The sequence below is a fragment of the Homo sapiens genome, chromosome 15, assembly GCF_000001405.40.
Source record: "Homo sapiens chromosome 15, GRCh38.p14 Primary Assembly".
Taxonomy (NCBI): domain Eukaryota; kingdom Metazoa; phylum Chordata; class Mammalia; order Primates; family Hominidae; genus Homo; species Homo sapiens.
In genome coordinates, this window is record NC_000015.10 from 80945327 (window position 1) to 80971208 (window position 25882).

Consider the following 25882-nt stretch of genomic DNA (forward strand, 5'->3'; position numbering starts at 1 on the left):
TCCTGTGAGCTAACTTAGATCCCCATCAGGAGGGCAAGACCTACATTTGAGTCCCCCAAGTAGGAAGGCTGAGCTCCAACAAAGGACCATTAGCTTTTGTTCTGAAATGAAACAATGCAGAAATATCCTCCTGAGAACAGATCCTGAATCTAGAGTGGAGGATGTGTTAGCAATGAGACCTGTCTCCTTAAGGGGCCTCACCCTACCAACCCTTTGGGCCTCCCTCTCCAGCCTTCCTCAAGGGCCTGAGGCAGCCCCAGCTCCCTTCCCATCTATCCTTATTTCACACAAGCCCTTCGCATCTTAAGATCTTTCCCGCTGTTCCCAGTGGGACACAAATGGGGGTAACAACAGGTTCCAGAATCCTATACAGTTTTTCCATGTCTGGACTGTGGTCTGTGGTTACAGAGTTCCTTTGAGATACAAACTGGACGCCCCATTGAGCTTCTGCCCCATTTCTATTCCCAAGGGAGGTGCTCACTTCCTCCTATCTGGCCCAGTGTGCTGAGTCTGCCACTGTGAAGGCTATTTTCCCAGCACTTTGGACTGAATACACCCCGAGGCAGGGGATAGACACTCCTTATTCCCAAGTCGAACTTTTGCAATTTGGGACCTTCAGGCTGGGTGCACACATTGCTCCAAACCTCTGTGTCTTTCAAGCACATTTCCCTTTGGTAGGTCCTCTGAGATACTTGGTAACTATTTGCTTCAATCTCCCCATTTGCAAAATAGAGGCAATAGCCCTGTGTTGCCTAACCAGAGAGAGGTGACGTGAACGTAAGAGGTCAATCTGAGCTCTTGGTACAACCCGAGCATCATGGTAACGACATGGTGTTCTCCCAGAAAGACTTCAAACCTGGCCATGCTCTTCCTGCAGCTCAGAGAAGGCTGGCTCTGGACTACACTAAGCCTGTGTCCATCAAAAGAAGACAGCAAAAGAAAGATGCGCTCCAAGAGAAATCTTCTAGCATGGGGCTTCTCGAGCTTTAATGTATACATGATCACCTGCAGATCTTGTAAAAATGCAGATTCTGATTCAGGAAGTCTGCAATGGAGGAATTCTGTGGTTCTAATGAAATCCCAGGGGATGCCAAATGGAGCTGGTCTCTAGAACCTTCAGGATCTAGAACCTTCAGGAGCTCCTGGATGGTTTTATGATTTGACAGATGCTCCCCTCCGCCTTCCCGCACCTCCTCTCTTTCTCTTCCCTTTCTCCTTCCTTCCTCCATCACCACATTTCTATCTGGTCTTACCTAACCAGGGTTGAGAACATTCAAGGGAAGAGATACATATCGAAGTCCTACTGTGTGCCGAGCCCTGGCATGGTACGCTCTGCTTACATCCTCTCCTCTGTTTGGAGAGAGACATGTAAACGCGGTGAGCCAAGTCCAGGCTTGGAGAAGGCTGTGGGCACCAACTGTGGCCAGATGTGTGGGAGGGAGCTCAGGATGTTCGTCACCACATGGAAAGAGCCCGTCAGCTCAGAACACAGGAGAGGCTGCCCTTTCCCGAATCCCTGGACAGGCCTCTGGGCACTGCTAACTCCAGTCCCACCATGCACAAACCAACATCCCTCCCCATGCCCACTTTCTCCAGTTTGCTCTCTCCCTCTGGTCTAATTGGTTTCTTCTCACACAGTTCCATAGTGCTTATGGCATCAAAGGGAAGATACGTCTCCAGAGGCCCATGGACCAGAGTGCTGGAAAAGCTTGGGGCAGACAGGGGTCTCAAGTTGAAAGGTAAGGGTTTGAACTGGGGTTTAAACTGACCCCAAAACCAGAGAAGGCAAATGCCTGGCATGGAGGGTGCTGTCATCTTTTGCTGAGTTGAGAACATGCTTTGTACTAAACGTGGGTACAACCTAAGAATCCCCCACACAACTAGTGGTCTACTGGAATGGATGGGCAAGATGCCACCTGTTTACCACCCCTGCACTGCAGCAAATTTATTATAACTTGCCACCAGCCACTGAAAGAAAATTGCTATATTTGTTGACTCATTTGCTTGGAAAGTGGCCCTTTATTCAACAAAAGTATCATAAGAAAAGTGGCTTAGTCTCACCCTCCTACCCAATTCCTGCTATTCAGACTGGCCAGGGGTCCTGCATCTTCTTCAACATTCTAGCTGATGCCTAGCGTTTGTACAGTCCTTTGCAGCTTGCAAAACTCTTATTTGTTCCAGAAAACTAAAGCCCAGAGAACCTACATGGCTTGTCCAAGGCCAGGCAGCTTCGGTGGTGAAGCCTAGCACAGGCTTGCTGGCTGTGCTGGAAGAAGCCATCCAGGAGGGACATGTCAGCATGACACCCATTATCATCACAAAAACTAGGTGCAGGGAGAGTCCTCAGAGAGGCTGTATGGGCGGCAGAGAAGCTCCACGGGCAATAATGATAATGATCATTGTGGTTGCTATTCAATGTTCAGCCTTGCACTTTGCACAACATGTTATAATTATCTCACTTACTCATTAATAACCTGTGCAGCAGGTACTATTATTTCCATTTAAGATGAGGACACCAAGAATTTAACAGCCAAGCCACTTGCTTAAGGTTAGGACTTGGATCCTAATCTTCCTAACTCAAAGCTGGGCTTCTTAGTTATACACCATCCTCACTATGGAAAACATCAAAATCAGAAACCCATCATATGGGGCAATGAGAAAAATCAGAAGCAATGCAAACCCTTCAAACCAGCCAAAGGAGGACATAAGGAAAAGAGAAGTATCCTTTCCAGCCCAGTCCTGAAATCATTTTGGAGCCTCTGTCTTTTAAATTAAGATCCCGGTTGCCAAAAGCTGATGTATGTAAGGTGACCTAAGTTGAATGGCACTTTCCCGGTGGTGATAAATGCATGTTGCCTGCCAAGATGGGCTGAGTATAGACGTGGATTCCCATGCCCCTCGGATGCTCAAGCTGTGAACTGCAAGATGGAGAGTGCTGTGTGGGTTTCAGGGGTTTAGAGTTCTAATCTGGGGTGCACCATTTACTCCACACTCTTGGTCAAATTTCTTCACCTCTCAGAACTCTTTCTAGAGCCACAGAGTGATAGAGTGGGGAAGGAGATCTTGTAGATCAATGCCATCATTTGATGGATGGGAACACTGGGCTTCAGAGAGGGGCAGGGACTTGCTGGTTGTCCTAGGGGCAGCTCAAAGGTAGGCAGGTTCCTAGGAGGTCTCCTCCCTTACAGTTTGCCCCATTTCCTGCTGTGCATGGCTCCCCTGTCTACAACAAAGCCATCACCCTGCCTAGGTGGCAGTGAGGCTCAGGTGAGACCCTGCCTGCCCCATACAAACACATGTCAGGCACCATCAGTAGCTGAGCACAGAGCTCTTCCCAAGGGGCCACAGTGCAGTGTGGCTAGGCGGTACCTGGTGGGCGTGGGGGGCTGGCGATGGGGAGCCATGGAACGGGGTGGGGCAGCCGTCCTCTCATAGGGCTTTTGCTCAGGAGACTCATCATTGCTTTTCAGAGCAAATGGCATTCGTTGGCTTCAAAGGCAGCTTCCGGCCCATCTGGGTGACACTGGACACTGAGGATCACAAAGCCAAAATCTTCCAAGTTGTGCCCATCCCTGTGGTGAAGAAGAAGAAGTTGTGAGGACAGCTGCCGCCCGGTGCCACCTCGTGGTAGACTATGACGGTGACTCTTGGCAGCAGACCAGTGGGGGATGGCTGGGTCCCCCAGCCCCTGCCAGCAGCTGCCTGGGAAGGCCGTGTTTCAGCCCTGATGGGCCAAGGGAAGGCTATCAGAGACCCTGGTGCTGCCACCTGCCCCTACTCAAGTGTCTACCTGGAGCCCCTGGGGCGGTGCTGGCCAATGCTGGAAACATTCACTTTCCTGCAGCCTCTTGGGTGCTTCTCTCCTATCTGTGCCTCTTCAGTGGGGGTTTGGGGACCATATCAGGAGACCTGGGTTGTGCTGACAGCAAAGATCCACTTTGGCAGGAGCCCTGACCCAGCTAGGAGGTAGTCTGGAGGGCTGGTCATTCACAGATCCCCATGGTCTTCAGCAGACAAGTGAGGGTGGTAAATGTAGGAGAAAGAGCCTTGGCCTTAAGGAAATCTTTACTCCTGTAAGCAAGAGCCAACCTCACAGGATTAGGAGCTGGGGTAGAACTGGCTATCCTTGGGGAAGAGGCAAGCCCTGCCTCTGGCCGTGTCCACCTTTCAGGAGACTTTGAGTGGCAGGTTTGGACTTGGACTAGATGACTCTCAAAGGCCCTTTTAGTTCTGAGATTCCAGAAATCTGCTGCATTTCACATGGTACCTGGAACCCAACAGTTCATGGATATCCACTGATATCCATGATGCTGGGTGCCCCAGCGCACACGGGATGGAGAGGTGAGAACTAATGCCTAGCTTGAGGGGTCTGCAGTCCAGTAGGGCAGGCAGTCAGGTCCATGTGCACTGCAATGCCAGGTGGAGAAATCACAGAGAGGTAAAATGGAGGCCAGTGCCATTTCAGAGGGGAGGCTCAGGAAGGCTTCTTGCTTACAGGAATGAAGGCTGGGGGCATTTTGCTGGGGGGAGATGAGGCAGCCTCTGGAATGGCTCAGGGATTCAGCCCTCCCTGCCGCTGCCTGCTGAAGCTGGTGACTACGGGGTCGCCCTTTGCTCACGTCTCTCTGGCCCACTCATGATGGAGAAGTGTGGTCAGAGGGGAGCAATGGGCTTTGCTGCTTATGAGCACAGAGGAATTCAGTCCCCAGGCAGCCCTGCCTCTGACTCCAAGAGGGTGAAGTCCACAGAAGTGAGCTCCTGCCTTAGGGCCTCATTTGCTCTTCATCCAGGGAACTGAGCACAGGGGGCCTCCAGGAGACCCTAGATGTGCTCGTACTCCCTCGGCCTGGGATTTCAGAGCTGGAAATATAGAAAATATCTAGCCCAAAGCCTTCATTTTAACAGATGGGGAAAGTGAGCCCCCAAGATGGGAAAGAACCACACAGCTAAGGGAGGGCCTGGGGAGCCCCACCCTAGCCCTTGCTGCCACACCACATTGCCTCAACAACCGGCCCCAGAGTGCCCAGGCACTCCTGAGGTAGCTTCTGGAAATGGGGACAAGTCCCCTCGAAGGAAAGGAAATGACTAGAGTAGAATGACAGCTAGCAGATCTCTTCCCTCCTGCTCCCAGCGCACACAAACCCGCCCTCCCCTTGGTGTTGGCGGTCCCTGTGGCCTTCACTTTGTTCACTACCTGTCAGCCCAGCCTGGGTGCACAGTAGCTGCAACTCCCCATTGGTGCTACCTGGCTCTCCTGTCTCTGCAGCTCTACAGGTGAGGCCCAGCAGAGGGAGTAGGGCTCGCCATGTTTCTGGTGAGCCAATTTGGCTGATCTTGGGTGTCTGAACAGCTATTGGGTCCACCCCAGTCCCTTTCAGCTGCTGCTTAATGCCCTGCTCTCTCCCTGGCCCACCTTATAGAGAGCCCAAAGAGCTCCTGTAAGAGGGAGAACTCTATCTGTGGTTTATAATCTTGCACGAGGCACCAGAGTCTCCCTGGGTCTTGTGATGAACTACATTTATCCCCTTTCCTGCCCCAACCACAAACTCTTTCCTTCAAAGAGGGCCTGCCTGGCTCCCTCCACCCAACTGCACCCATGAGACTCGGTCCAAGAGTCCATTCCCCAGGTGGGAGCCAACTGTCAGGGAGGTCTTTCCCACCAAACATCTTTCAGCTGCTGGGAGGTGACCATAGGGCTCTGCTTTTAAAGATATGGCTGCTTCAAAGGCCAGAGTCACAGGAAGGACTTCTTCCAGGGAGATTAGTGGTGATGGAGAGGAGAGTTAAAATGACCTCATGTCCTTCTTGTCCACGGTTTTGTTGAGTTTTCACTCTTCTAATGCAAGGGTCTCACACTGTGAACCACTTAGGATGTGATCACTTTCAGGTGGCCAGGAATGTTGAATGTCTTTGGCTCAGTTCATTTAAAAAAGATATCTATTTGAAAGTTCTCAGAGTTGTACATATGTTTCACAGTACAGGATCTGTACATAAAAGTTTCTTTCCTAAACCATTCACCAAGAGCCAATATCTAGGCATTTTCTTGGTAGCACAAATTTTCTTATTGCTTAGAAAATTGTCCTCCTTGTTATTTCTGTTTGTAAGACTTAAGTGAGTTAGGTCTTTAAGGAAAGCAACGCTCCTCTGAAATGCTTGTCTTTTTTCTGTTGCCGAAATAGCTGGTCCTTTTTCGGGAGTTAGATGTATAGAGTGTTTGTATGTAAACATTTCTTGTAGGCATCACCATGAACAAAGATATATTTTCTATTTATTTATTATATGTGCACTTCAAGAAGTCACTGTCAGAGAAATAAAGAATTGTCTTAAATGTCATGATTGGAGATGTCCTTTGCATTGCTTGGAAGGGGTGTACCTAGAGCCAAGGAAATTGGCTCTGGTTTGGAAAAATTTTGCTGTTATTATAGTAAACATACAAAGGATGTCATCATCTTGTCTGTTTGTTTCATTTTCTATTAAAATGGGCTTCATTTTATCTAGGGATAATAACTTATCTAAGGATAACCTAAGATAAACAGTTATCTAAGGATAATAAGGCTGATGAAATCACCCCATGTGTCTGCCTTACTTCCATGGCCTTATTCCCAAGAGCTAGTCATATGTCAAGATCCTACCTTGCCTTGCCCCAAGGCGGGGTGTCCATAAGAGCAGGTGGAGATGGTTCAAAGAAAGAGAAGATATCATTCATATGGCTGGCCATGTCCAGAACTTGCTGCGTCCTCCACATTTCTAAGCTGTCAGGAGGCTGTCACTTCAACTCCCCTCCCCGATGGGGAAGCCAGGCAGAAGCAGGACTCTCTTTTCCTCCCAGGCCCTGTTTGGCTGGAGGCCAAACACGTTTGACAAGAGCATGGGGGCTGAGGTGGGAAAAACAGGTCCAAATCAAACTGGCAGACGAGAGGCAGGCACAGGTAGAGGGCACCTCAGGCAGCACTGGAAGGGGCTCAGGGGTCTGGAAGGGAGAGAGTGAGAGGCAGAGGTTAGAGCAGGTGAACTGGGAGTGGTCCAGAACTGCCAGTCCAGGAGGGCAGCCACTAGCTTCATGGGGCTACCTACATTTAAATTAATTTAAATTAAATGCAATTAAAAATGCAGTTCCTCAATCACATTGGCCACAATTTTCAAGTGCTCAATGGCTATGTGTGTCTAGTGGCTACCATATAGGATAGAGTCGATATAAAACATTTCCATCACCACAGAGAGTTCTTCTCTTGATTTCCAAAGAGCTCCTGGGTCTTATGCATTGGGTTTAAAAACAAAACAACTATGTCTCGTGTGTGTGTGTGTGTGTGTGTATGTCTCTCTGTCTGTCTGTCTGTGTGCATCTGTGTATAGTCAATTCACTTAAAGGGGCTGGTACCAGATTGGTCGTTTTAAGCTGCCAATACACAAATATATCTGGCAGACTAGCTTTGGGCATAAAGTCAGCTGTGCAGTAGAGAGTACACGGCCTCTACCTTCAGGAAACTTTGCCAGGAGAAAGAGATCACACTTGCACACTCAGTCAACAAATATTTTTGCACCCCTGCTCTGTGCCAGGCACGGTGCACACAGAGGAACACAGAATGACCCCATGGAGAACATGAAATTACCTGCCCAATGAGTGGTGTGGCAGGCTTCTGAGGGCAGGGAGTGATCATCGCCTGGATTGGTCAGGGAAGGTCAGTGAGTGGAAGTAGGACAGGTGTTGGCCTGAGAGTCAGAGATGGATAAGAGAAGGGCCTTTTGTAAGAGGCAGAGTCTGACAGAGGGGCAGCTATCAGAGTGTGGGCTTGAGAACACCTGGGCATAAATCAAGGCTCAGTCATGAGAGGCAAAGTGGAAGGTGGGTTGGGCCAAACACAGGGTCAGCTTTAGGGCCCACTGGCTGTGATGAAAGAGGGTGGGGGGTTACTAGTGACTTCTCAGCCAGAAGTGTCACTGTGTGAAAGAGAGCACAGCCCACTGATTCAGTAGGTGCATAGAAGAGGCATCCAGGGAGGACTTGGAAAGCAGACGCCAACGAGGAACCGTCGAGCAATGGGACACTGCACCCAGCTAGACGCACAGCAAAAGAAGCCACAGAGAGGTTGGGGTGGAGGGACAGGCAGGCACTTCAGGGTCCTTCATTTGTCCCTGCAATAGTCACCAGATCCCACAAGTAGTCACTGCAATGCATTAGGTGACCAGTGGGCACCTTCCGTTCCTGTCCGCAGGGAGACAGACAGGATGATCTGCTCTCCCTCACCAGCCTGGGAGGGGACAGGTCAGAAAAGTGTGGCAGAGTTAAGTTTTGCAGAATGCATAGGAATGAACTAAGTGAAGAAGGGCAAAGAACATTCCTGGTGAGGGAATGGTGCTGGGAAGGCCTGGAGGCGATGTGTAGGAGTTGCTGGAGGAAAGGGGGTGGGGTTCCTCCCCACAGACAGGAGGGGTGAAGGCATGGGCGTTCACTCATGGAGGCTGGGGTGGCCTTAGAGGTCAGTGCAGTGACAGCTAACAACATCTGCCTAAAGAAAACGCAACGGCACAAAGCTGGAAGCAGGCGTTTGGGAGAATTTTGTTCCCATACCCACAGGCACACAGGGTATGCTGAGTTGGGCACACAGGCAGTCCCTGAGGTGGCATATGCCTGCATCTCCAATCTGGTCACCCATTCCTTCCTCATCCCCAATCCCCAGATGAGCCCTAATCCTCATCCCCTCCCACTGGCTCAAGGATCTTAGAGTCCTCATAACATGGTAGATGACCTGACCCACCCTGCCCTCTCTCCTCTCGGCTTGGCCCACGCCTACTCATGTTCCAGGGCGTAGCTCCACACAAAGCCTTCTCTGACCCATGCCTGGCAGCTTTCTCCTTCCTCTCCTGGGCCCAGGGCCCAGTGCCTTGATATTGCGCCCCCTGTCCCAGGCTAACATTCACCCCTTCCTCCAGACTGTAGCCTCCTGCAGAGCATAGGCCATAGGTTTTCCCATATCTGGCAGAGTTCTGTTGGGTAATGTGTGCTTGCTGTGTTGAACAAAGGCATAAAAGCCGACCCTAGCGCAACCCTCCTGCCTCCAGTACTGAAGCCAAAATCCTGAGCCCTTTGACCCCATCCTAGCTGTTTTAGCCTGGGGGCTAGGTAGGCGGCAGAGGTTTTCTCAATGGCAGGGAAAGGAGTAGGATGTGGGTGGTGGGAAGGGCTTAATCCTGGGAGGATCAAGTCCACAGGCACCTGGCAGTGCCCTCATGTCCTCAGGGCTGGGTTGGGGTGAGAAGGAGAGCAGACAGAGGTAATGGTGAGGGTTGGGGGAGGGGATGGAGGAAGGGAAGAGTTCATTGTCCCAGGAACTGCCCTCCCTCACAGAAAACAATCAGGAGCATCAAACAGAATCAACAACATGCATGACTCAGCTTTGAAAGCTATAAAGCAAGCTCGTCTAACCCACCGCCAGTGGGCTACATGCAGCCCTGGATGGCTTTGAATGCAGCCCAACGCTAATTTGTAAACTTTCTTAAAATATTATGAGTTTTTTTGCATTTTTTTAAAGCTCATCAGCTATCGTTAAGTGTTAGTGTATTTTACGTATGGCCCAAGACAATTCTCCTTCCAATGTGGCCCAGGAAAGCCAAAAGATTGGATGCCTGTGCTCTAAAGCCTGCTACTCAGTGTGGTCCATGGGCCAATGGCATCAGCATCATCAGCATCAGCTGGGGGAGGTGGTTCACACCTGTAGCCCCAGCACTTTGGGAGGCTGAGGCAGGTGAATCGCTTGAGCCCAGGAATTCAAAACCAGCCTGGGCAACACAGCGAGACCTTGTCTCTACTAGAAAAAAAAAAAAAAGTTCAGCACCACCCAGGAGTATAACCAGGAGCTGGTTAGAAATGCCCAATCTCGGCCGGGCGCGGTGGCTCAAGCCTGTAATCCCAGCACTTTGGGAGGCCGAGGCGGGCGGATCACGAGGTCAGGAGATCGAGACCATCCTAGCTAACACGGTGAAACCCTGTCTCTACTAAAAATACAAAAAAAAAAAAATAGCCGGGCGCAGTGGCAGGTGCCTGTAGTCCCAGTATTCGGGAGGCTGAGGCAGGAGAATGGCGTGAACCCAGGAGGCGGAGCTTGCAGTGAGCCGAGATTGCGCCACTGCACTCCAGCCTGGGCGACGGAGAGACTCCGTCTCAAAAAAAAAAAAAAAAAAGAAATGCCCAATCTCAGGCTCTCCCAGATCAGCTGAATCAGAATCTGCATTTTAAGAAGGGACCCAGGGTAGTTGTTTGCACAGTAAAGTTTGAGAAGTGTGTGTTTGTGCGTGTGTGTGTGTGTGTGTGTGTGAGAGAGACAGAGTCTCTTTAGCCCAGGCTGGAGTGAAGTGATGCAATCTCGGCTCCCTGCAACCTCCGCCCCCCAGGTTCAAGCGATTCTCCTGCCTCAGCCTCCTGAGTAGCTGGGATTACAGGCCTGAGCCACCACGCCTGGCTAATTTTTTGCATTTTTAGTAGAGACGGGTTTTCGCCATGTTGGCCAGGCTAGTCTTAAACTCCTTGCCTCAGGTGATCCACCCACCTCGGCCTCCCAAAGTGCTAGGATTACAGGTGTGAGCCACTGCGCCCGGCTGAGAAGTGTGGTTTTAGGAGTCTCTAAGAGACCAGGCACAGTGGCTCACACTGTCATGAGTCATGCATGACTCAGACTGGCAACATGGCAAAACCTCATCTCTACAAAAAATACAAAAATTACCCAGGCGTGATGGCTCATGCCTGTGGTCCCAACTACTCAGCAGGCTGAGGTGGGAGGATCACTTGAGCCTGGAAGGTAGAGTCTGTGGTGAGCCGAGATCGCGCCACTACACTCCAGCCTGGGTGACAGAGTGAGATCCTGTCTAAAAAAATAATAATAAAATAAAATAAAAAAGACCCTAAGAGCCTAGGCAGCCAGTTTAGAATGGATTTTATATAAGGCTGCCCAGCTATGATGACATGAAGTGTGTTGGACGGAGAGCTCTGGGCTAAGAATCGGAAGGCGTCCAACTGCTCCCCTCGACTGCAAGATTCCTTCTTTCTTCCCCGGTCTCCACACACTAATTATTGAAGACAAGGAACATGTCTACAGAAAAGTTGGGCTTAGGTGTTATTCATGGTGAGAGCAAAAGAAAACAGTTCTCGGACACACAAAGGCTTAGAAAGAGTAGCACGAGGGTGCTCTTCCAGAAAACATTGAGGTGTTCTCTAATCAGATAGAGAAACAAAATCAAGAATTTACAATTGGGGTAAGGGGAACAGGAAAAAAAAGCCAGCAGCCAACCCTAAAACCACAAAGATATTGCAATAAGTTTTATAAATATAAACACAGAATTCGGTGCAAAGCCAAAAGCAATTCTGAGATAGCCAATTGTTAATATTTACAAAGGAAAGTTGGGTTTTACAAACCTGGGATATATGGTAATAACAAGCAAAACAGATACAAGGACGGAGCATGCAGAGGGGGTGGCTGTGTTAAGCTCTTCATCTTCTCTCTTTTTTTTTGTTTGAGACAGAGGGTTTTGTTTTGTTACCCAGGCTGGAGTGCAGAAGCATGATCCTAGCTCACTGTGGCCTCGACCTCCCAGGCTCAAGGGATCCTCCTACCTCACCCCCTGAGTAGCTGGGACTACAGGCTCACGCTACCATGCCCAGCTATTTATTTATTTATTTATTTTTTTGTAGAGATGGGGTCTCACTGTGTAGCCCAGGCTGCTCTCAAATTCCTGAGCTCAAGCAATTCTCCCACCTCAGCCTCCCAAAGTGCTGGGATTATAGATATGAACCACCATGCTCAGCTTCTTCATCTTCTCTTGTGGGAGGAAATTGTCTCATGTTGTTTTAGACATTAACAGAGTTATAATTATAGGTTTAAGAAGGAAAACAAAAACTAATGATGATAATGAATAGCATTTAAAAATGAGACATCTCCCTACCACTGCAGAAGAAAAAAAAACAAAATACAGTCTCCATAAAGAGAGGACAGAAAGATGACATGAAAATGACCACACAACACCTGGGTAAAGAGGAGTCCAGCCACAACAGCAGTAACAGTATGTAACCAACCTAGGTTTCCCAGCTAAAAATGAAAGACCTTCAGGTTCTGCCAAGAAAATAAAATTAAATTATTTGTTGCCTACAGGCTTACCACTGTAAACACTGGCTGCTTGAGCGTGGTCAGTTTTTAGAGACCACCTTTCCTCTCTTCATATTTAGCTGAACTTGCTTAGGCTCCCATGATTGGAAGAAACTTGGCAATCCCCATCCACTGCAAAACACACACACACACACACACACACGAAATTGGCTCATGCAATTACAGAGACCAACAAGTCCTAAGACTGGCAGTCTACAAGCCTGAGACCCAGGAGAGCTGTGGTGTAGCTCCAGTCTGAAGACTGGCAGGCTCTGAAACCCAGAAGGAGCCAATGTTTCAGCTCAGCCCAAAAAGCAGTGTCTCAGCTCAAAGGCTGTCAGGCAGAAGGAACTCTCTCTTACTCAGCCTTTTTGTTCTATTCAGGCCTTCCACTGGTTGGATGAAGCGCCACCCACCCCCCCACCCCCATATTAGGGAGGGCCATCTGCTTTCCCCAGTCTACCAATTCCAATGTCAATCTCATTTAGAAACATTCTCACTGAAACTCCCAGTATCATATTTGACTAAATCTCTGGGTAGCCCCTGGCCCAGTCAAGTGGATACATAAAATTCACCATCCCAGATTGCCTCTTTTCTTCTTGATTTCCTCAAATTACACAAACACAAGGAAGTTATTTATAGCGGAATTTTGCTGAAGATTTAGGAATATGGCATAGCAACAGCTTCAAATAGAATATTAGTCATCATTTCCCAGAAGTTCCTCTACCCTCCCATTCGCCTACACACACCTTAAGTAAATTCCTGGGTCAGGCTGCTACTAGAACATCAGAATTCTCCTTGCCTTATCAGGTATAGAATTGTTGCTCTCTCATCAATAAAAAGATTGGTCCCAGGCATTTATTTTATTTCAATTAATTAATTAATTTAGAGATGGGGTCTCACTCTGTCACCCAGGCTGAAGAGCAGTGGTGCGATCTTGGCTCACTGCAACCTTCACCTCCCAGGTTCAAGCAATTCTCCCACCTCAGCCTCCTGAGTAGCTGAGACCACAGGCATGCGCCACCACACTCAACTAATTTTTTCTATTTTTTGGTAGAGATGGGGTTTTGCCACGTTGCCCAGGCTGGTCTCGAACTCCCGAGCTCAGGTGATCTGCCTGCCTTGGCCTTCCAAAGTGCTGGGATTACAGGCATGAGCCACCGTGCCTGGCCTTAGGCATTTTTTTTTCATATCCAAACACTCATCAAGGTGCTCTGCTGAGCAAAGAACTATCTCTCAGGGGTCACCACCCTTTAGCAGTATAAACAATCTGCAGAGGCCTTGCAATTGCAGCCTGTCTTCAATGTGATCAGGTTGGGAGCAGGATTGTCTTTTCAAGGTCCTTGATGTGTCAGTTTATGGAATGGCAATTGTTGAGGCAATAGATGACAGTTACCCCCATATTCTGAGGAAAAGCCCCTAGAGTAGCCGTGAAGGACTTGGTAAGAAGTGGTGACCCACCTCCAGGCTAAGGAAGAGAAGGCTGGAGAGTCATTGAAGGGGAGATGCCCTGAAGGAAATTTACAAGAGTCAATGTGCTATTGGGTTTCCCCTCTCTCAAAGGGTGCATCCCCTAAGCCCGGTGAGAGGCTCCAAGAGAACCCCTCTTGGGGAGATTGCGGAGATTTACCAAAGGAAGAGATTGACATTTTACTTCTCAGCTGGACACTTGCTGAGTGCCTAAAACTCACAGGTCATCCAGCTGCTGTTGGAGTTGGGGGAGACAGTTTTCCGGAGAGCCTGCCTTGCATGCCTGCCATGTGAGAGGGTAGAGGTTGAAGGTGCCTCTCGCCCAGAGATGACCGAAGGTAGATGGAGGCTGGAGCTGCCGCAGTGCCTGGAAGGATGAAGGGCAGCCTCTGGGTCAGTGCATTCACTCCTTTTGGCTGGGAGGATGTGTGAGGCTTCCCACGAGTCAAGTGTACATTGTGGAAATTAGTGCGGCCCTGGTGTGAGCTAGTTTGAAAGGGCCCTGTTCCAAGTGGCTGCCTGCTTAGCTGAAGGGGTTCCTGATAGAAAGAGGATATAGGGCAACTCCAAGGGGTTTCACCAGTATTCAGCTAGAAAATGTCTTGCTCAGATCAAAGTTGGTAAGGGGGATCTTGGGCATATTCTCCAAACATGCCAAACAGCCAATAAATGGACACCTGCCATAACGGAGAACACTTACGAACCCTCTTTCTACCATAACATAAATTATTAAAGATTTTTAACCCCTCTTCTTCCAATCCCCCCACCTTTGTGCCCCTGCAGGAGCCAGCAGGAATAGGAAGAGATGGAAGAAGTGGAGAGAAAAAGCAAAGTGGAAGAGAGAAGAATAGCTCATGTCCCCATTATCTCCTGGAAGTGCTCAAAAAGAAGTGGGTAAGAGCAGTGGTGTGCAGGTAAACTCAACTGGAAGCAGGGGGAGTGGGGCGGTGGGTGGGAGAAGCCCTGTTCGTAGTATTTGTTGATGCCCATAGTGTAAATTCTCCCATCATGGCTGATTTTCAGCTGCAATGGTTTCGCAACCAGCTTGTAAAATTCCTGTCTATTTAACAATTGGTTTTCACCAGCTGGTCCCAGCCAGCTCATCACTGACAGAAGGCTGAGTGAACAAAGGGGGTTTAAGACAGCACTGAGTCCAGGCGTGGTGGCTCACACCTGTAATCCCAGCACTTTGGGAGGCCAAGGTGGGCAGATCACTTGAGCCCAGGAGTTCAAGGCCAGCCAGGGCAACATGGAAAAAACCCCATCTCTACAAAAAACACAAAAATTAGTTGGGTGTGGTGGCACCCACCTGTAGTGCCAGCTACTCAGGAGGCTGAGGTGGGAGGATCACCTGAGCTTAGGGAAGTCAAGGCTGCAGTGAGCTGTGATTACACCACTGTAATCCATCCTGGGTGACAGACAACATCCTGTGTTTAAAAAAAAAAAAAAAAAGCACGGAGAAAAAAAAAAACTCTTTCCCAGTTTGTACCTTTCAAGATCAGCACATTCAACCAACCAATTACACAAAGTGGAAAGAAGGAGTACAAGGACTTACACTCCCTTGGAAAGAAAGAATTAAGCTGTTAAAATGAAATTCTACTTATTTGCATCTTTTAAATAATTATTTCTCCTTCAAATTCTAGAGGGAAAACACTTGATATATGGTTGAATAATGACACAATGTTGGGGATGAGGAACGCTTTCTTAAACAAAATATCAAAGGAAAAATCATCAAAATTGGTTGATATGCCTACATAAAATTATTGAAACTCTAAACAATATTGACAGGAAACGAGTTTAAAATACATATCCCAGAAAAGAAATTATTATCTTTGGGTGTCTAGTCATCTTCTGTTTGCCTCCAGATCAATTCTACACCCTTCTCTGCCCTGTTTAAGGCCCCAAGAGGCCGAGACATGTCCAGCAGCTGTTCCCTGGCCCTCTGGCTCCCTGTTGGGTTTGGCCAATTGGAGGCACCGTCAACAGATGGAAGGGAGGAAGGAAAGTCCTGGGTTAGGGAATTCATGCCACTGTCTCCCTTTTTACTGTGTCTCTGTGAGTTGACTGTATCCCTCTAAGGAAGATGAGAGCTTTGGTCAGGAGCCCTTTCGTGGTCCCAGTAATTGCCCTCTCTCTCAGTATCGCCAGGCTTAGGGGTGGTAACTGGCCCCCACTTTTGCAAGCCCAGGGCTATTGCACTACTCCTTGTTGGGATCCCTAAACTTTATGCACACAATTTGCAAACAATCCTGCCATTAAATGCTCCTTAACATGCCATCTGCTTTTTGCTGAGACTCTGCTGATATTTTATATGAGAGGCTCTTACAAAGCAGTAAGGAACAAAAAGAAAAAAAAAAAGGAAAAGAAAAGAAAGAAAAACAGCAAAAGGGGGCCAGATTACATAAGAAAAAATATAAATGGCAAAATGGCAAAAGATATATTCAAAAACTAAACCTTGTTGGTAATTATAAAATGCAAATTGAAACAACAGTGAGATGCTATTATCCACCTAGTAAACTAGAAAATATTAAAAAGAACTATAAAAGACAGAAGAAATGAATGCTCCTAGACAATGAGGATAAAAGAATAATTTGGTGCAAATTTTCTGTAAAGCAATTTAGTACTAAGTAAAAATGACTGCAAAATGTATTCAGACTTTGGCTCCAAAATTCTGTCAAAGAATTTATCCTAAAGAAAGAGCTACAGAAATGCACAAGAATTTGTGACAAGGATATTCACTGCAGCATTTTATATGATGATGAAAACTGTAAAACAACCTAAGTAGTCAACAGTCAGATATTGGCTAAATATACCATCACAAAGAAGATGAAAGAAAAAACATTATAGACAAGCAAATGCTGAGAGATTTTGTCACCACCAGGCCTGCCTTACAAGAGCTCCTGAAGGAAGCATTAAACATGGAAAGGAACAACCTGTACCAGCCACTGCAAAAACATGCCAAATTGTAAAGACCATTGACACTATGAAGAAACTGCATCAATTAACGGGCGAAATAACCAGCTAGCATCATCATAACAGGATCAAATTCACACATAACAATATTAACCTTAAATGTAAATGGGCTAAATGCCCCAATTAAAAGATACAGACTGGCAAATTGGACAAAGAGTCAAGACCCATCAGTGTGCTGTATTCAGGAGACCCATCTCACGTGCAGAGATGCACATAAGCTCAAAATAAAGGGATGGAAGAAGATCTACCAAGCAAATGGAAAGCGAAAAACAGCAGGGGTTGCAAACCTGGTCTCTGATAAGACAGACTTTAAACCAACAAAGATCAAAAGAGACAAAGAAGGCCATTATATAATGGTAAAGGAATCAATTCAACAAGAAGAGATAACTATCCTAAATATATATGCACCCAACACAGGAGCACCCAGATTTATAAAGCAAGTTCTCAGACACCTACAAAGAGACTTAGACTCCCACACAGTAATAATGGGAGACTTTAACACGCCACTGTCAATATTAGACAGATCGAGACAGAAAATTAACAAGGATATCCAGGACTTGAACTCAGCTCTGGACCAAGCAGACCTAATAGACATCTACAGAACTCTCCACCCCAAATCAACAGAATATACACTTTTCTCAGCACCGCATCACACTTATTCTAAAATTGACCACCTAATTGGAAGTAAAACACTCCTCAGCAAATGTAAAAGAACAGAAACCACAACAAACTGTCTCAGACCACAGTGCAATCAAATTAGAACTCAGGATTAAGAAACTCACTCAAAACCGCACAACTACATGGAAACTGAACAACGTGCTCCTGAATGACTACTGGGTAAATAATGAAATGAAGGCAGAAATAAAGATGTTCTTTGAAACCAATGAGAACAAAGACACAATGTACCAGAATCTGAGGGACACATTTAAAGCAGTGTGTAGAGGGAAATTGATACCACTAAATGCCCATAAAAGAAAGCAGGAAAGATCTAAAATCGACACCCTAACATCACAATTAAAAGAACTAGAGAAGTAAGAGCAAACATTCAAAAGCTAGCAGAAAACAAGAAATAACTAAGATCAGAGCAGAACTGAAGGAGATAGAGACACAAAAAACCCTTCAAAAAAATCAGTGAATCCAGGAGCTGGGTTTTTGAAAAGATCAACAAAATAGACCACTAACAGGACTAATAAAGAAAAGAGAGAAGAATCAAATAGATGTAATAAAAAACGATAAAGTGGATATTACCACCAATTCCACAGAAATACAAACTACCATCAGAGAATACTATGAACAGCTCTATGCAAATAAACTAGAAAATCTAGAAGAAATGGATAAATTCCTGTATACATACACCCTCCCAAGACTAAACCAGGAAGAAGTTGAATCTCTGAATAGACCAATAACAGGTTCTGAAATTGAGGCAATAATTAATAGCCTACCAAACAAAAGAAGTCCAGGACCAGACAGATTCACAGCCAAATTCTACCAGAGGTACAAAGAGGAGCTGGTACCATTCCTTCTGAAACTATTCCAATCAATAGAAAAAGAGGGAATCCTCCCTAACTCATTTTATGAGGCCAGCATCATCCTGATACCAAAGGCTAGCAGAGACACAACAAAAAAAGAGAATTTTAGGCCAGTATCCCTGATGAAGATCAATGCGAAAATCCTCAATAAAATACTGGCAAACCGAATCCAGCAGCACATCAGAAAGTTTATCCTCCACGATCAAGTCGGCTTCATCCCTGGGATGCGAGGCTGGTTCAACACATGCAAATCAATAAATGTAATCCCTCACATAAACAGAACCAACGACAAAAACCACATGATTATCTCAATAGATGCAAAAAAGGCCTTCGAGAAAATTCACCAGCCTTTCATGCTAAAAACTCTCAACAAACTATATTGATGGAACAGATCTCAAAATTATAAGAGCTATTTATGACAAACCCACAGCCAATATCATACTGAATGGGCAAAAACTGGAAGCATTCCCTCTGAAAACTGGCTCCAGACAAGGATGCCCTCTTTCACCACTCCTATTCAACATAGTATTGGAAGTTCTGGCCAGGGCAATCAGGCAAGAAAAAGAAAGAAAGGGTATTCAATTAGGAAAAGAGGCAGTCAAATTGTCCCTGTTTGCAGATGACATGATTGTATATCTAAAAATCCCCATTGTCTCAGCCCAAAATCTCCTTAAGCTGATAGGCAACTTCAGCAAAGTCTCAGTATACAAAATGAACGTGCAAAAATCACAAGCATTCCTATACAACAGGAACACACAAACAGAGAGCCAAATCATGAGTGAACTCCCATTCACACTACAAAGAGAATAAAATACCTAGGAATCCAACTTACAAGGGATGTGAAGGACCTCTTCAAGGAGAACTACAAACCACTGCTCAATGAAATAAAAGAGGACACAAACAAATGGAAGAACATTCCATGCTCATGGATCAATATCATGAAAAAGGCCATACTGCCCAAAGTAATTTATAGATTCAATGCTATCCCCATCAAACTACCACTGACTTTCTTCACAGAATTGGAAAAAACTACTTTAAATTTCACATGGAACCAAAAAAGAGCCCGCATAACTAAGACAATCCTAAACAAAAAGAACAAAGCTGGAGGCATCATGCTAGCTGACTTCAAACTATACTACAAGGCTACAGCAATCAAAACAGCATGGCACTGTTGCCAAAACAGATATATAAACCAATGAAACAGAACAGAGGCCTGAGAAATAACACCACACATCTACAACCATCTGATCTTTGACAAACAAGCAATGGGGAAAGGATTCCCTATTTAATAAATGGTGCTGGGAAAACTGGCTAGCCATATGTAGAAAGCTGAAACTGGACCCCTTCCTTACACCTTATACAAAAATTAACTCAAGATGGATTAAAAACTTAAATGCAACACCTAAGACCATAAAAACCCTAGAAGAAAACCTAGGCAATACCATTCAGGACATAGGCATGGGCAAAGACTTCATGACTAAAACACCAAAAGCAATGGCAACTAAAGCCAAAATTGACAAATGGGATCTAATTAAATTAAAGAGCTTCTGCACAGCAAAAGAAACTATCATCACAGTGAACAGGCAACTTACAGAATGGGAGAAAATTCTTGCAATCTATCCATCTGACAAAGGGCTAATATCCAGAATCTACAAAGAACTTAAACAAATTTACAAGAAAAAAACAAACAACACCATCAAAAAGTGGGCAGAGGATATGAACAGACACTTCTCAAAAGAAGACATTTATGCAGCCAACAGACATATGAAAAAATGTTCATGATCACTGGTCATCAGAGAAATGCAAATCAAAACCACAATGAGATACCATCTCACACCAGTTAGAATGGCGATTAAAAAGTCAGGAAACAACAGATACTGGAGAGGATGTGGAGAAACAGGAACACTTTTACACTGTTGGTGGGAGTGTAAATTAGTTCAACTATTGTAGAAGACAGTGTGGCAATTCCTCAAGGATCTAGAACTAGAAATACCATTTGACCCAGCAATCCCATTACTGGGTATATGCCCAAAGGATTATAAATCATGTTGCTATAAAGACACATGCACACATATGTTTATTGTGGCACCATTCACAATAGAAAAGACTTGGAACCAACCCAAATGTCCATCAATAATAGACTGGATAAAGAAAATGTGGCACATACACACCATGGAATACTATGCAGCCATAAAAAAGGATGAGTTCATGTTATTTGCAGGGACATGGATGAAGCTGGAAACCATCATTCTCAGCAAAATATCACAAGGACAGAAAGCCAAACACTGCATGTTCTCACTCATAAATGGGAGCTGAATAATGAGAACACATGGACACAGGGAGGGGAGCATCACACACCAGGGCCTATTGTGGGGTAGGGGACTGGGGGAAGGATAGCAATAGGAGAAATACCTAATGTAAATGATGAGTTGATGGGTGCAGCAAACCAACATGGAACGTGTATACCTATGTAACAAACCTGCACGTTGTGCACATGTACCCTAGAACTTAAAGTATAATAATAAAAAAAAAGAAAAGAAAAAACAAATTGGCTAAATTGAGGTATAGCCTCCTCCCCAAAATAAAGATTAAAAATGATTATTAAAATGTTGATAATTATTAGAACTGGGTGACAAGGAATGGTGACCCACTCTATTTTTTGTGTGTACATTTAAGATATTTCCATGATAAAGTTTTTGAAAGTTAGAAATAACCATTTTAGAAAATACTTAGCATAACCAATCAAGAACTTTAAAAGAATCATCATCATTTTTTTTTTTGGACCTACTAATTACATACATATCTGGGGATTTAGCCTAATGAAATAGAGCATGGGTATGAAGATGCTCATTGTAGCATTATTTATAATGACTTGACAGGTTCAAATAACCTAAATGTTCATCTACACAGAAATGACCAAATAAATTATGGCCTCATTTGATGAACTATTATACCTCATCAAAATAATATTTACAAAGGGTTTGTAATAACAAACTACTCATTTGCAGAGCCAGTGGCAGAGGCCCTTTGGTTTCTGAAAGTCACAGAGTATTACAGACAGAGAGACCTGAGAGCTCAACGGGCCCAGTGCTCCCCATATTAGAGGTGTGTTCACACACACATGTGCACACACACACAAACCAAGCTTCCACCCCTCCTGCTGTGCCACTGCCCCCAGCTTCCAGGCTGCCTCTGTGTCCACTCATGCCTGCTCAAATCTCAGCTTAGTGGCCACCTGCTCCAGGAAGCTTTTCTCTGGCCTCCCTTGGAAAATCCCTCTGTTGCAAGCTACAAGCACCTTGCATAGTTGCCACTGTACACTGTGGGTGTGTGTATTTGATTCAGGCCCTCTTCTTCCATACCCTGCTGCCTCTCTGCTCCACAACCTTTGCACCTCTTCTCTTCCTCCTGATTCTGCATCTCAAAAGCCCAAATAACTGGCTTGAAGTGGCCAACTCCTCCTTATTGGGCAGTTCCGCTGGTTAAATTCCTCTGGGAAATGCTGGCCCATTCCAACTGAGGCCCATCGAGGTGATGCGCTCAAGGCATTGATTTTAAAACTAGAAGTAGAAGCCCTTGGCCGGGCGCAGTGGCTCACTCCTGTAATCCTAGCACTTGGGAGGCTTAGGTGAGCAGATCACCTGAGGTCAGGAGTTCGAGACCAGCCTGACCAACATGAAGAAACCCCCGCCTCTACTAAAAATACAAAATTAGCTGGGCATGGTGGTGCATGCTTGTAATCCCAGCTACTTGGGAGGCTGAGGCAGGAGAATCACTTGAACCCGGGAGGTGGAGGTTGTGGTGAACCGAGATCACACCATTGCACTCCAGCCTGGGCAACAAGAGTGAAACTCCATCTCAAAAAAAGAAAAAGAAAAAAGAAAAGAAAAGAAGTAGGAGCCCTCAGGGAGTTTTAATTTAGAGCAAGGACCTCAGAGAATTTGTAAGGAAGCTTCTATCCTAAGGGAGTCAGGGACCTCCTTTGCATTAGAATAAGGATCCCTATTGTCTTGTTTCTTCCAGACCCTGGCATGTAAATCCCAGGCCTGGCAGGACTTGCCACCCTGTTTATAGAAGAGGTAAGGCCCAGGGAAAGCAAGTATGGCACTCAATGTCGTCCAACTTGGAGCTGAGGTAGGAGGCATGGATCAAAGGGGCCCCAGTGTTTCTAGGCCTATGGCTGAAGCTCTCTCCTGCAGGAAGAATGCGGGCTGGCCTGAAAAACAGATGCAAGGCAGACCAGATGTCCCTGGGCATTCTTCACATTCCACCAACTGCAGCCCTCCTTGGCTGAGAGCTGCCAAGTCTGGGCTTCCAATTCATCAGCTTGGAAACTTCACCTCAGAAACTTCGGCAGACTTCTCTGGAGAAAACAAAAATTGCCCTAGGTCTGCCAGGGAACAGTGGTCAAAGATTTAAAATTGCAAGTTGGGCTGCTGAGATCCAGAATTTGACAAGCCCAGGTTTAAGCTGATTCAACAAGATCTATGGAGAGTTGGCCAAGTGGCCCCAACTGCAGGCTCAGGTTTTCCCAGATGCTGGATCAAGTGGAAAGGGGTCCAACATCTCAAGTTTCTGGCTTGTGACACTTGCGTGGGACCTCCTGAAATCTGCCTACCAAAAATTTCCTTGTACCAGCAAGCAGCATGGTCAAACTGCAGTCTCCTGCAGACCGCTTGGACTCTGGCAGCTCTGCCCCTTTCAGGGCAAACCATCTCACCTGAGAGCAGGTCCTCAGCCATGCAGGTATCTGAGAGCAGAGCACCAAGGTGGTGGGAACGGCAGATGTTTCTGCCTGGAAGGAAGCTGACCCGCTCTGCTCTGGCATACCCTACACTGGGCAAGGTGGCCATTCTCCTTCTGGAGCAATCTCTGTGGCCCATGTAGAATTCCATCCCAGCCCCTCCCTTAGAGTGTCAAGCCACAGTGAAAACTGCAGTGCCTCCAGAAGAAAACAGCCCAGGCAGGATGTTATCCTGCCTTCTCCTAGCTGTGACTCTCAGCAAGGGGCTTAACCCCTACAAGCTTCTGTCTAGTCACCTGAAGCACAAAACACACACACAAATGATAATAGTTAACATGTACTGAAAGCTCTGTTGGCCAGGCACAGTGGCTCACACCTGTACTCCTTTGGAAGGCCAAGGTGGGAGGATCGCTTGAGCTCAGGAGTTTAAGACCAGCCAAGGTAAAATAGTGAGACCCCACCTCTTTACTTTAAAAATAAAATAAAAAAGAAAGCTGTGTTAAGTGCTTCACAGGGACTTGCTCATTTAATCCTTATAATACTTCTCTGAAATGGGAACTTTTATTAGCACCTACAGGCTTAGATGAGTGAGGTCCTTAAATAACTTGTCCAACATGATACAGCTAATAAAATGCAGAGCTGGGAAGTCCAACACCAGAACTGTGCTTCAAAGGGCCACATAGTAAATGTTAACTAATACCAACCTTGTGGGGTTGTGAAGGGTAAATGAGGTCGGGCACAGTGGTTCACACCTGTAATCCCAACACTTTGGGAGGTCAAGGTGGGAGGATTGCTTGAACCCAGGAGTTCAAGACCAGCCAGGGCAACATAGGGAGACCCTGTCTCTACAAAAAATATTAAAAAATTAGCTGGGTGTGATGGTGCACACCTGTGGTCCCAGCTACCCAGGAGATTGAGGTGGGAGGACCACTTGAGCCTGGAGGTCGAGGCTGCAGTGAGCTGCCATCGTGCCAGTGCACTCCAGCGTGAGCAACAGAGTGAGACCCTAACTGAAAATAAAATGAGAGTAAATGAAATAAAGTATGTAAAGACCTGCACACAGTGGGTAGCATGTCACAGTTAGGTAAGGATGTCCAGAGCTTGCACACAGTAGGCACACTCCATGCTGAAAGACATTGTGTGTCTTTTAATATTCAACCTGTAAATACCAAGAAGGCAGGGACCTTGCCTGCCTTGCTATCTTTATCTCCACTGCCTGCACACTTCCCGAAACTTATTGGTGTTCAGCACTTACATGGGGAGTGCTTGTATCAACACTTGGCACATGGGTCTGAGAAGAGGTCCAGAGAAGGGGAGCAGCCCCTCTCCCAAGCAGATTACAGTGGCTGGTGTCAGTTTTGGAGTCTGCCTGCCTGAGTTTAAATCCTGGGTTTGAGGCTGGGCATGGTGGCTCACGCCTGTAACCCTAGCGCTTTGGGAGGTCGAGGCAGGCGGATCAGTTGAGGTCAGGAGCTCGAGACCACCCTGGCCAATATAGTGAAACCCCGTCTCCACTAAAAACACAAAAATTAGCCAGGTGTGGTGGCGGGTGCCTGTAATCCCAGCTACTCAGGAGTCTGAGGCAGGAGAATCACTTGAATCCGGGAGGCGGAAGTTGCAGTGAGCCGAGATGGCGCCACTGCACTCCAGTCTGGGCGACAGAGCAAGGCTCTGTCTTAAAAAACAACAACAAAAAATCCTGGCTTTGTCACTGCCTTGCAGCGTGACCTTGGGGAAAATACTGAATGGCTATGTGCCTCAGTTTCCTTGTGTGCAAAATGGGGATGACAGTATTTACTGCATAGGGCTGCTTGCTATGAGGATGAAGTAAATTAATATTACTAGAACAGTACACATGGATAAGATAATCCCTTGGATTTCCAAGAGAATTCAGAGAGAGAGGTGTATGCAGATTTTCACAGATATTTTGCAAGCACAGACTGAGCAGTCTGTTAATTAAAATAATAGCTGAAGAATTCTCACCGAAGGATCAGTGGCAAATTAGAGACACATGGTGGGGAAGCCGTGAGGCACAGCTGGTCTCTGCTGCCCCCTAGTGGGTACATCCTTTAATTTTTAAATTGACTTTCCTTTAGGAGATGATAACCACTGCAGACAGCTTCCGAAAAAGGTTCTAGTCAAATCACTTTCCCAAGCTGTGCTTTGGTTATATGGTGGAGAGAATGAACAATTCTACTTCACTTAATAGGGGTCTTACGAAGTAGTAAAGGCACTCGCTGGCCTCGTGATCACTGGCAAATCCCCTTCCCTCTGGGCTCACTCACCTGTAAACTATCTACTCCTCCACTGCAGGGCAGGTGTGAGGCTCACATGCAGTGCATAATGGGAAGTGTTGTACTTTCTGACATCAAAAACGTGTTCTTCATCATAATTATCGTTGTCTTCCTCTCTGCTTCCCGGCCCCAAATGAACTCCGTAGCTAACTCAGCCACTCCTATTCTTCGGAACTTTCCCGCTCAGACCTAGTCAAACAAAATCAGTGTCTGATGGTAGTTACGGCAGTAAGAACAGATTTAAATCAGAAAGTACTGCAATAAGGGGAAAGAGACCTCAGTACAGAAGTGGGCTCAATTCTGAATACAGCATGCACAAACAGGTTTTTACCCCAGCCAAGGAGCAGGATGGGGGCAGTAGATGGAAAATGACTAAGAGGAAATGTCAGGGGTAGCACGGATTCTGGTTAAACAGACCTAACAGGATTATGCTGAAGGTAGGCCTGGGTGATCAGATATCACCTGGGGGCGGGGTGGAGGATGGAGAATTTGATCAGATATTGAGTGATTAGATATCAAGGGTAAGAAGTTCTCAATAAATTGATTAACAGGATTCTTGCTAAAATGGGCAACTCAAGCCCCACAAGAGCAGACACTGAAAGTCAATGCTTCAAGGGCTTCAAGGAGCCTCACTGGAGGCTGGTCAAGAAGAGAATATTTGTCAACTGCTACCCCAGAGGATTCCTACTGCAAGTCTTTGTGGAAGAGCTTGATCTTTGCCTGCTGTAAATGGCTTTC

The 25882-nt window shown here is 46.4% G+C and overlaps 2 protein-coding genes across 12 annotated transcripts in view, besides 4 other annotated features; one reads left to right on the forward strand and one right to left on the reverse strand.

The window, feature by feature from the left end:
* CEMIP (cell migration inducing hyaluronidase 1) overlaps positions 1-6445 on the forward strand; it is a 172402-nt gene extending 165957 nt beyond the window's left edge. For all 10 annotated transcript variants that reach the window (XM_047432894.1, XM_047432897.1, XM_047432893.1 and 7 more), the window contains 2 exons: positions 1639-1739; positions 3471-6445. In XM_047432894.1, the coding sequence (XP_047288850.1) occupies positions 1639-1739; positions 3471-3598 (229 nt within the window). In that variant the 3' untranslated portion in view covers positions 3599-6445. The remainder of the gene's footprint in view (positions 1-1638; positions 1740-3470) is intronic.
* MESD (mesoderm development LRP chaperone) overlaps positions 963-25882 on the reverse strand; it is a 43531-nt gene continuing 18611 nt past the window's right edge. For both annotated transcript variants that reach the window (NR_126328.2, NR_126327.2), the window contains 2 exons: positions 6633-6970; positions 963-3572 (listed from right to left, as the gene is read on the reverse strand). The gene's annotated coding sequence lies outside the window, so the exon portion shown is untranslated. The remainder of the gene's footprint in view (positions 3573-6632; positions 6971-25882) is intronic.
* Positions 7330-8302: an enhancer, noted in NCBI's record as "H3K27ac-H3K4me1 hESC enhancer chr15:81244997-81245969 (GRCh37/hg19 assembly coordinates)". NCBI's record gives its function as "activates a minimal SCP1, AML or CMV promoter by ChIP-STARR-seq in primed H9 embryonic stem cells {active_cell/tissue: H9 hESC(primed)}" and the evidence as "EXISTENCE:reporter gene assay evidence [ECO:0000049][PMID:30033119]".
* Positions 8303-9274: an enhancer, noted in NCBI's record as "OCT4-NANOG-H3K27ac-H3K4me1 hESC enhancer chr15:81245970-81246941 (GRCh37/hg19 assembly coordinates)". NCBI's record gives its function as "activates a minimal SCP1, AML or CMV promoter by ChIP-STARR-seq in primed H9 embryonic stem cells {active_cell/tissue: H9 hESC(primed)}" and the evidence as "EXISTENCE:reporter gene assay evidence [ECO:0000049][PMID:30033119]".
* Positions 9275-10247: an enhancer, noted in NCBI's record as "OCT4-NANOG-H3K27ac-H3K4me1 hESC enhancer chr15:81246942-81247914 (GRCh37/hg19 assembly coordinates)". NCBI's record gives its function as "activates a minimal SCP1, AML or CMV promoter by ChIP-STARR-seq in naive and primed H9 embryonic stem cells {active_cell/tissue: H9 hESC(naive and primed)}" and the evidence as "EXISTENCE:reporter gene assay evidence [ECO:0000049][PMID:30033119]".
* Positions 21276-21791: an enhancer, noted in NCBI's record as "NANOG-H3K27ac-H3K4me1 hESC enhancer chr15:81258943-81259458 (GRCh37/hg19 assembly coordinates)". NCBI's record gives its function as "activates a minimal SCP1, AML or CMV promoter by ChIP-STARR-seq in naive H9 embryonic stem cells {active_cell/tissue: H9 hESC(naive)}" and the evidence as "EXISTENCE:reporter gene assay evidence [ECO:0000049][PMID:30033119]".